General features: G+C 47.0%; 1 protein-coding gene across 1 annotated transcript, besides 1 other annotated feature; it reads right to left on the bottom strand.

Annotated features, from left to right (window-relative positions):
• H1-7 (H1.7 linker histone) lies at positions 2,647-3,946 on the bottom strand. Its single transcript, NM_181788.1, has one exon. It carries the CDS (start codon positions 3,632-3,634, stop codon positions 2,867-2,869), a length of 768 nt encoding a protein of 255 aa, NP_861453.1. The 5' UTR covers positions 3,635-3,946; the 3' UTR covers positions 2,647-2,866.
• Positions 2,689-3,188: an enhancer, noted in NCBI's record as "H3K27ac hESC enhancer chr12:48723521-48724020 (GRCh37/hg19 assembly coordinates)". NCBI's record gives its function as "activates a minimal SCP1, AML or CMV promoter by ChIP-STARR-seq in primed H9 embryonic stem cells {active_cell/tissue: H9 hESC(primed)}" and the evidence as "EXISTENCE:reporter gene assay evidence [ECO:0000049][PMID:30033119]".
• Positions 3,947-11,225: the final 7,279 nt, after the last annotated feature.

Here is an 11,225-nt window from a genome sequence, read left to right as displayed (position 1 = left end):
GGGGTCAGCCCCCCGCCCGGCCAGCCGCCCTGTCCGGGAGGGAGGTGGGGGCGTCAGCCCTCCGCCCGGCCAGCCGCCCCGTCTGGGAGGTGAGGGGCGCCTCTGCCCGGCCGCCCCTACTGGGAAGTGAGGAGCCCCTCTGCCCGGCCAGCCGCCCCGTCCGGGAGGGAGGTGGGGGGGTCGGCCCCCTGCCCGGCCAGCCGCCCCGTCCGGGAGGGAGGTGGGGGGGTCGGCCCCCCCGCCCGGCCAGCCGCCCCGTCCGGGAGGGAGGTGGGGGGGTCGGCCCCCCGCCCGGCCAGCCGCCCCGTCCGGGAGGGAGGTGGGGGGGGTCGGCCCCCCTGCCCGGCCAGCCGCCCCGTCCGGGAGGTGAGGGGCGCCTCTGCCCGGCCGCCCCTACTGGGAAGTGAGGAGCCCCTCTGCCCGGCCAGCCGCCCCGTCCGGGAGGGAGGTGGAGGGGGTCAGCCCCCCCGCCCAGCCAGCCGCCCTGTCCGGGAGGTGAGGGGCGCCTCTGCCTGGCCGCCCCTACTGGGAAGTGAGGAGCCCCTCTGCCCGGCCAGCCGCCCCGTCCGGGAGGGAGGTGGGGGGGGGGGTCGGCCCCCCTGCCTGGCCAGCCGCCCCGTCCGGGAGGTGAGGGGCGCCTCTGCCCGGCCGCCCCTACTGGGAAGTGAGGAGCCCCTCTGCCCGGCCACCACCCCGTCTGGGAGGTGTGCCCAACAGCTCATTGAGAACGGGCCAGGATGACAATGGCGGCTTTGTGGAATAGAAAGGCGGGAAAGGTGGGGAAAAGATTGAGAAATCGGATGGTTGCCGTGTCTGTGTAGAAAGAAGTAGACATGGGAGACTTTTCATTTTGTTCTGCACTAAGAAAAATTCCTCTGCCTTGGGATCCTGTTGATCTGTGACCTTACCCCCAACCCTGTGCTCTCTGAAACATGTGCTGTGTCCACTCAGGGTTAAATGGATTAAGGGCGGTGCAAGATGTGCTTTGTTAAACAGATGCTTGAAGGCAACATGCTGGTTAAGAGTCATCACCACTCCCTAATCTCAAGTACCCAGGGACACAAACACTGCGGAAGGCCGCAGGGTCCTCTGCCTAGGAAAACCAGAGACCTTTGTTCACTTGTTTATCTGCTGACCTTCCCTCCACTATTGTCCCATGACCCTGCCAAATCCCCCTCTGTGAGAAACACCCAAGAATTATCAATAAAAAAATAAATTAAAAAAAAAAATAAACTTAATTACAACATGGGGAAATGTCAAGTTCTGATCATCTATAGATGAGATAATGCTGCAAGAATTCTGCGGTTACTAGGCTTTGCATAGGCTTAAAGCAGTGATTCTCAAGGGTGTGAAAGGGTAAATATTAGCATCACTTAAGGGTGGTTTTTTGGTGTTTTTTTTTTTTTTTGGTCTGTTTTAAATACACATACCCTGTTGCCGCTTGTAGGAGATATAAGACTCTCCTGAGGAAAAGCTTGGTCAGGTGTACCTGGAGAAAGCTCCCAGGAGGTTCTAATACCTTCCCACTGCCACTTTTACCTCTTTAAGAATACAAAGTACTTCCCAGCCGCTTCCATGTCCCCATTCCTTTGACTTCGGCTGAAAACAGCTACTCTTTCCTTCAATCAGCTAATTTGACGTTTTACTTCCCGAGGAATCATTTGTGTCCTGTCAGCCTATGGCATGAGAACTACTCCTGCACTTTTCTTAACCCCTGCATTCAGAACTAAAATCATACATTTGTTTCATACTTGTTACACAGTGCTCAATACATGTTGTTATTGTTAAGAAAAGCAAAAGACCTATTCATTATCTAGCCTTCTCCATCTCCTTGTATTTGTGCTATGCAATCTGTCAATCTTCATAATTTCCTCTTTAGGAGTTGGCACTTTCTCAGAAGATAATTTCCTTATTGCTGAATTTTGTCAAGAAAACCATTATGCCATGATGTTTAAGTCCCCTTTTCATTTTACTGACATTTAAATCACCTAGAAATCATCTTAGCTCAATCCCAACATTTTACTGAGAAGAAAACCAAGACCATGAATGGTTAAGAAATAACTCAGCAAAGGTCAGACTAGCAGAACTTTGACTAGAATCTTGGTCTTACTACATAGTGGTCCAGCAGTTTTCTGCTATAGCACATTACCACTCCATCGGGAATTAATTATACACATATTTAACTCTCAGTGATGAGTACCTATCCTATGCCAGGCCCTATGCTGGATGCTTTCATACACTTATTTAACTGAGGATTGACATAAGAATATCTTTTAAATTAAAATAGGTTATCAATTCAAGGCAAAAACTACAAACTCATTATAATCAATTTTGGGAGGACTTTGTCCTAAAAGGAATTTCAGGTAAGAACACTTTGAATCAGTGGGACCACTCAACTTAAAGACTGTCTACTCTTTTCCCAACATGCCTTCCTCCCCAGAACTCAATTTGGATTTGCTAGAGTATCTAACAATACTTCAACACTTGTTAAGCTGCTGGTTTTCCTCTGTTTTCTCTCCTTCTAAAAGACATTTCTCTGAGTTCTGCAGCAGGAACAGAATCTCAGCTAATTTACTGTCTTCACTGAACGTTACCACCACCCACCCCTTCCCTTCCAGGTGCGGCAAAGAGGAAACAGACACAAGGTGGTCTAGAGGTCCATTTCATTTCAATGAGTGTGACAGCCGCTCTTCTTGGGGCCTATGGGGGAAAGGCATTGGTCCGTGGTGGGAGTGAAGCTGCTCCCACAAGATGCATTCCCAACTGGATCAGGAAGACCTTCAGATTTAGGGGAGGTCTTTGTGGAAGTCTTTAGTGGAGTCTTCCCCTGCCCGCTAGATGTCCGGTCGGTTTTAGCCCGCGTTGGCTACTGGATGGTCCGCTGTGCGGGCTTCTTGGGCTCCTGCTTCTCTTCCCTGGGCTTGGAGCTTCGCCTCTTGTCCTTCCCTGACCTCGGCGTGGTGTCTTCCTTCACGGCCTGTCCTCGCCCCTCGTCTGCCGCTGTCGCTCCCGCTTCCTCCTTGGCTCTGGCACACGGCGGCTCCTTGGCTCTCGGCCTTGCCCTCCTGGTCCTCCTCGCCCTGGCATTGGCCTTGGCTTTCGCCCTCGCGTTCCGTCTCCACACTTCTCTGGCCTTCCTGGCCGCCTTGCGAAGGGGCTGGCGGCGCCTCCGGGAGCTCCGGGGCGCGGCTGGGGTCCTCCAGGGAGCGCGCGTGCCCTCCTCTTGCCTCGCGCGTCCCGGCTTTCTCCTGGGCTTGGGAACCTTCCAGACCCTGAAGTAGCCGGCGGCGTCGCTGCCGCTGACCCGGAGGAGCGTGGCCTTGGCCTGCCCCCTGGGCGCTTCGTGGCGGCCGCTCTTCCTGCGCACTTCGTAGCCGGCGTTTCGGAGCTCCTTCTTGAGAGCTGCCAGAGTCAGCCCTTTGTGAGTGGAGATGGCCTGGAGCACCAACTGGGACACTCTGAGCACGGAGCTTGAGCAGCCCCTCGATGGTCCCCCGACAGTTTTTTCCGCTGGCAGCTGAGTGGCTGAGTGTCCTCGGGATTCGCCACTGGGCCCAGGCGCCTCAGCCATGGCCCCACTCCCGCCTCTGCGGGGCCACCGGCTTTGGGCCTCACCAGTCAAGGCCTGTTCCATAGCTGAGGTAGACTGGGCCACGTCACAAAGGCAGGCCTGGCAGAGATTTTCAGGTCCTAATTATGGGGCTGGCATATCTCACCCGGGGAGGGGCCCTTTTCACTTATAATAACCAATCAAATGCCACTTCCTTCTAGGTCTAAACCAATCCAAGTCTTCAGCGCCTGTCCACCCCCAACAGTCACCTACCTATAGAGTCTCCAGGGTTTTGTTCCCAAATCAAACTTACTGATCTCGATCTCCACCGCTTTCTTTAGTCGGCTATTTTGTGTGTGTATGTGGTCCTGCAAACCATCTACCCACAGTTCCTTAAGGTGAGCGAAGCTGCTCCCAACTATCCAAAACAAGCAACACACTGCCTGTAGAAAGTACACGGGGTAGTCCATGAAACACAACCCAGATTAGAAACTCCCACCTTTAATTCCACCAGTCAGGTATCTGAAGTCATGTCTCCCTAATTCTACACAGTGGATTCTGTGCAAGAGCATGAAGTAAAAAAGGAACCAATTGTGTGATCCCTCTACCCTAAACACTGATTCCCACACCTGGGAAATTTAGATGACGCATTCAACTGTACTGAAACAATCTAGATTTCACATCGCCTGAGGATACTGGTCTAATCATTATTCTTTGAACATACTGTGTTTTTTTCCATCTCATCCCCTCTCTTGGATTTCTCATCCTCTTTGTCTGCCCAGATAAGTCCTGCTCATCTTTCAAGGTACTGCTACATTATCCTTCTTCACTGAAGACTCCCCAAACTCTTTCAAATGATTTCTTGCCTCTTAACTACCACAACCACCAAAATTACTTCTGCAATCTTATATGGCTTTTTCTTTATTTTAAATGAATTTGGCATTAGAGGGTATAATGTGACACAATATTTTTTAAAAAGAAAAAAACTCGTACTTGGAGCTGGAAGATATGGATGCATATCCTAGCTCTTTAGGAGCCATATGACATTAACAAATCCCTTAATATCAGTGGTGTGGCTGTCAGATGGATGTGCCGGCCATCTGACTTCTTATCTAACATCACATTCCCTTCCTACCAACATCACAGAATTATTGCAAAATTTCAGAAGAGGTAGATGAACAAGGGCTACCTAAATATAAGGAATAAATTTACTTTACTTTGAATGTTTCTGTCTTGTATTTCCAACTAAATAAAGATATCCTCAAGAGCTATAGTCTTTGAACTTCTATGTCCCATGCTGCACCTAACAATATGCTTCATTATACACAGCGGGCATTTAATTGAGCCTGCTTACATCATTCCTCTCTGGTGAGGAGAGTTTCTCTAGATTCAGAAAGAAACTTCCAGAAGATCAGGAGAAAGGAGCAGAGTGAATTTCAAAGGGTTGGAAATGAAGGGGGCCAAGTAAGGATTAGCTTATCAAGGACCTATTTTGGACACAGTTTAGTTGGGAATAATTTAAAGTATTATTCTAAGAATACTTCAAATTGCCAAGCATATCATACTTTTCCAGAGGGCAATCACATACATTCATCAGTCACAGGCTAGACAGTGACAGTTTCTTTTAAAAATCAAAGCTCCAGGAAGTAGCTTAGACCAGTGCTTTTTTTTTTTTTTTTTGAGACAGAGTCTTGCTCAGCCCAGGCTATGTAATGGCACAATCTTGGCTCACTGTAACCTCCACCTCCTGGGTTCAAGCAATTCCTGTGTCTCACCCTCCCAAGAAGCTGGGATTACAAGCATGTGCCACCACATCCAGCTAATTTTTTTTTTTTTTTTTTGAGACAAAGTCTCACTCTGTTGCCCAGGCTGGAGTGCAGTGGTGCAATCTCGGCTCACTGCAACCTCCGCCTCCTGGGTTCAAGTGATTCTCGTGCCTCAGCCTCCCAAGTAGCTAGGATTACAGGTTCCTGCTACCATGCCCAGCTAATCTTAGTATTTTTAGTGGAGATGGGGTTTCACCAGGCTGGTTGGCCAAGCTGGTCTCAGACTCCTGACCTCAGGTGATCCACCCACCTTGGCCTCCCAAAGTGCTGGGATTACAGGCGTGAGCCACTGCGCCTGGCCCTTATTTATTTATATATTGGTAGAGACGAGGTTTTGCCATGTTGGCCAGGCTGGTCTCGAACTCCTGGCCTCAAGCAATCCACCCACCTCAGCCTCACAAACTGCTGGGATTATAGGCATGAGCCACTGCGCCCAGCCAGACCAGTGCTTCTTAAACTTCAATGTGCATATTTAATACCCTGGGATACTCATAAAGTGCAATTCATAGGTCTGAAGATAGGGCTAGAGGTTTTACCTTCTAAGAAGCTTCCAGGTAGTTCTATCTGGTTAAAACACAGGTGTGTGTTGAGGGGCAGGGAGAGGGTAGACAATGAGAAGGGGAGTAGCAGGAGATACGACTGAAAAGGTAGTTAAGGGACATTGGGAAGGACAACTAGTGATAATGACAGAGCTGTAAGTGGTGACACGGTAGCAAGTGGTAGAGTTTGGAACCAAACCTAAGTCTACTTAATCCTAAGGCCTAAGTTCTTAAGTACTGTGTTAGGTTTCCTTTTCTCTAAGGTTGACCCTTTCCCTATTATATATCTCCACCATAAAGCAGGGGCTAGTTTATCTCCATAATCACAGTTCAGAGCTGCTCAGATTCAAGAGTATCTAAAGGCACTCACTGTACCTTTTCCCATCTTTAAAATCAGGGCACAGTAATGTGACCCTGAGGATTTACATGGGCAGGGGACTACTGCATCAGCACAGGGACAGTGCACCCAGGAAGGACTGCCAGATGGAAAGGCAGGACCACATTAAGCAGGATTTCTCCCATTTGTATAGTCTCTTGGTCTAGCTACCCTTCCTGGTTGCAGAGACCAGTGGCCACAGGATGGGGCAAACACCAGATAAAAAAGAGGCATAACTGCTTGCTTTGAGAATAAGGAAGAAAATGAGTGAAGTCAGACCCTTGAAGTCAGCTGATCCAGAGAAAAATAGACTGACTGTACATAATGGTGTAATCATGAAAGACAAGAACAAAATCAACCAACCATGTTTACTGATGCCCCTGTGATCAGAAGGGAGGCCAAGTTGAAACCTTTGGGAGAGGCGAAATCAAAGGAAAACGAATAAATGAAAAAAAATCGAGGAACAGCTCCAGTCTAAGCTCCCAGCGTGAGCGACGCAGAAGATGGGTGATTTCTGCATTTCCACCTGAGGTACCGGGTTCATCTCACTAGGGAGTGCCAGACAGTGGGCACAGGTCAGTGGGTGCAGCGCACCGTGGGCAAGCCGAAGCAGGGCGAGGCATTGCCTCACTCCGGAAGCGCAAGGGGTCAGGGAGTTCCCTTTCCTAGTCAAAGAAAGGGGAGACAGACGGCACCTAGAAAATCAGGTCACTCCCACCCGAATACTGTGCTTTTCTGACAGGGTTAAAAACCGGCACACCAGGAGATTATATCCTACACCTGGCTCAGAGGGTCCTACGTCCACGGAGTCTCGCCGATTGCTAGCACAGCAGTCTGAGATCAAACTGCAAGGCGGCAGCAAGGCTGGGGGAGGGGCACCCCCCATTGCCCAGGCTTGCATAGGTAAACAATGCAGCCGGGAAGCTCGAACTGGGTGGAGCCCACCACAGCTCAAGGAGGCCTGCCTGTCTGCCTCTGTAGGCTCCACCTCTGGGGGCAGGGCACAGACAAACAAAAAGACAGCAGTAACCTCTGCAGACTTAAATGTCCCTGTCTGACAGCTTTGAAGAGAGCAGTGGTTCTCCCAGCACGCAGCTGGAGATCTGAGAACGGGCAGACAGCCTCCTCAAGTGCTTCCCTGACCCCTGACCCCTGAGCAGCCTAACTGGGAGGCACCCCCAAGTAGGGGCAAACTGACACCTCACACGGCCGGGTACTCCTCTGAGACAAAACTTCCAGAGGAACAATCAGACAGCAGCATTCACCGTTCACGAAAAACCACTGTTCTGCAGACGCCGCTGCTGATACCCAGGCAAACAGGGTCTGGAGTGGACCTTTAGCAAACTCCAACAGACCTGCAGCTGAGGGTCCTGTCCGTTAGAAGGAAAACTAACAAACAGAAAGGATATCCACACCAAAAACGCATCTGTACATCACCATCATCAAAGACCAAAAGTAGATAAAACCACAAAGATGGGGAAAAAACAGAGCAGAAAAACTGGAAACTCTAAAAAGCAGAGAACCTCTCCTCCTCCAAAGGAACGCAGTTCCTCACCAGCAATGGAACAAAGCTGGACGGAGAATGACTTTGACGAGTTGAGAGAAGGCTGCAGACGATCGAACTATGAGCTACAGGAGGAAATTCAAACCAAAGGCAAAGAAGTTAAAAGCTTTGAAAAAAATTTAGATGAATGTATAACTAGAATACCCAATAGAGAGAAGTGCCTAAAGGAGCTGATGGAGCTGAGGGCCAAGGCTGGAGAACTACGGGAAGAATGCAGAAGACTCAGGAGCCGATGCGATCAATTGGAAGAAAGGGTATCAGCGATGGAAGATGAAATGAATGAAATGAAGCGAGAAGGGAAGTTTAGAGAAAAAAGAATAAAAAGAAACGAACAAAGCCTCCAAGAAATATGGGACTATGTGAAAAGACCAAATCTACTTCTGATTGGTGTACCTGAAAGTGATGGGGGAATGGAACCAAGTTGGAAAACACTCTGCAGGATATTATCCAGGAGAACTTCCCCAATCTAGCAAGGCAGGCCAACATTCAGATTCAGGAAATACAGAGAACGCCATAAAGATACTCCTCGAGAAGAGCAACTCCAAGACACATAATTGTCAGATTCACCAAAGTTGAAATGAAGGAAAAAATGTTAAGGGCAGCCAGAGAGAAAGGTCGGGTTACCCACAAAGGGAAGCCCATCAGACTAACATCTGATCTCTCAGCAGAAACTCTACAAGCCAGAAGAGAGTGGGGGCCAATATTCAACATTCTTAAAGAAAAAAATTTTCAACCTAGAATTTCATATCCAGCCAAACTAAGCTTCATAAGTGAAGGAGAAATAAAATACTTTACAGACAAGCAAATGTTGAGAGATTTTGTCACCACCAGGCCTGCCCTAAAAGAGCTCCTGAAGGAAGCACTAAACATGGAAAGGAACAACCAGTACCAGCCGCTGCAAAATCATGCCAAAATGTAAAGACCATCGAGACTAGGAAGAAACTGCATCAACTAACGAGCAAAATAACCAGCTAACATCATAATGACAGGTTCAAATTCACACATAACAATATTAACTTTAAATGTAAATGGAGTAAATGCTCCAATTAAAAGACACAGACTGGCAAATTGGAGAAAGAGTCAAGACCCATCAGTGTGTTGTATTCAGGAAACCCATCTCACATGCAGAGACACACATAGGTTCAAAATAAAAGGGTGGAGGAAGATCTACCAAGCAAATGGAAAACAAAAAAAGGCAGGGGTTGCAATCCTAGTCTCTGATAAAACAGACTTTAAACCAACAAAAATCAAAAGACACAAAGAAGGCCATTACATAATGGTAAAGGGATCAATTCAACGAGAAGAGCTAACTATTCTAAATATATATGCACCCAATACAGGAGCACCCAGATTCATAAAGCAAGTCCTGAGTGACCTACAAAGAGACTTAGACTCCCACACATTAATAATGGGACACTTTAACACCCCACTGTCAACATTAGACAGATCAACGACACAGAAAGTTAACAAGGATACTCAGGAATTGAACTCAGCTCTGCATCAAGCGGACCTAATAGACATCTACAGAACTCTCCACCCCAAATCAACACAATATACATTTTTTTCAGCACCACACCACACCTATTCCAAAATTGACCACATAGTTGGAAGTAAAGCTCTCCTCAGCAAATGTAAAAGAACAGAAATTATAACAAACTATCTCTCAGACCACAGTGCAATCAAAGTAGAACTCAGGATTAAGAAACTCACTCAAAAACTGCTCAACTACATGGAAACTGAACAACCTGCTCCTGAATGACTACTGGGTACATAACGAAATGAAGGCAGAAATAAAGATGTTCTTTGAAACCAACAAGAACAAAGACACAACATACCAGAATCTCTGGGACACATTCAAAGCAGTGTGTAGAGGGAAATTTATAGCACTAAATGCCCACAAGAGAAAGCAGGAAAGATCCAAAATTGACACCCTAACATCACAATTAAAAGAACTAGAAAAGCAAGAGCAAACACATTCAAAAGCTAGCAGAAGGCAAGAAATAACTAAAATCAGAGCAGAACTGAAGGAAATAGAGACACAAAACCCCTTCAAAAAATTAATGAATCCAAGAGCTGGTTTTTTGAAAGGATCAACAAAATTGATAGACCGCTAGCAAGACTAATAAAGAAAAAAAGAGAGAAGAATCAAGTAGATGCAATAAAAAATGATAAAGGGGATATCACCACTGATCCCACAGAAACACAAACTACCATCAGAGAATACTACAAACACCTCTACGCAAATAAACTAGAAAATCTAGAAGAAATGGATAAATTCCTCGACAAATACACCCTCCCAAGACTAAACCAGGAAGAAGTTGAATCTCTGAATAGACCAATAACAGGAGCTGAAATTTGGCAATTATCAATAGCTTACCAACCAAAAAGAGTCCAGGACCAGATGGATTCACAGCCGAATTCTACCAGAGGTATAAGGAGTAACTGGTACCATTCCTTCTGAAACTATTCCAATCAACAGAAAAAGAGGGAATCCTCCCTAACTCATTTTATGAGGCCAGCATCATCCTGATACCAAAGCCGGGCAGAGACACAACCGAAAAAGACAATTTTAGACCAATATCCTTGATGAACATTGATGCAAAAATCCTCAATAAAATACTGGCAAACAGAATCCAGCAGCACATCAAAAAGCTTATCCACCATGATCAAGTGGGCTTCATCCCTGGGATGCAAGGCTAGTTCAATATACGCAAATCAATAAATGTAATCCAGCACATAAACAGAACCAAAGACAAAAACCACATGATTATCTCAATAGATGCAGAAAAGGCCTTTGACAAAATTCACCAACCCTTCATGCTAAAAACTCTGAATAAATTAGGTATTGATGGGACATATCTCAAAATAATAAGAGCTATCTATGACAAACCCACAGCCAATATCATACTGAATGGGCAAAGACTGGAAGCATTCCCTTTGAAAACTGGCACAAGACAGGGATGCCCTCTCTCACCACTCCTATTCAACATAGTGTTGGAAGTTCTGGCCAGGGCAATTAGGCAGGAGAAGGAAATAAAGGGTATTCAATTAGGAAAAGAGGAAGTCAAATTGTCCCTCTTTGCAGACGACATGTTTGTATATCTAGAAAACCCCATTGTCTCAGCCCAAAATCTCCTTAAGCTGGTAAGCAACTTCAGCAAAGTCTCAGGATACAAAATCAATGTACAAAAATCACAAGCATTCTTATACACCAATAACAGACAAACAGAGAGCCAAATCATGAGTGAACTCCCATTCACAATTGCTTCAAAGAGAATAAAATACCTAGGAATCCAACTTACAAGGGACGTGAAGGACCTCTTCAAGGAGAACTACAAACCACTGCTCTATGAAATAAAAGAGGATACAA

This window comes from Homo sapiens, chromosome 12 (assembly GCF_000001405.40).
Source record: "Homo sapiens chromosome 12, GRCh38.p14 Primary Assembly".
NCBI lineage: Eukaryota > Metazoa > Chordata > Mammalia > Primates > Hominidae > Homo > Homo sapiens.
The sequence above is the reverse complement of the archived record's forward strand: the minus strand, read 5'-3'. Positions and strand labels throughout refer to the sequence as shown.

Excerpts from the sequence above, each read along its gene's own strand:
- H1-7 (NM_181788.1), bottom strand. The coding sequence starts at position 3,634 with ATGGAACAGGCCTTGACTGGTGAGGCCCAAAGCCGGTGGCCCCGCAGA.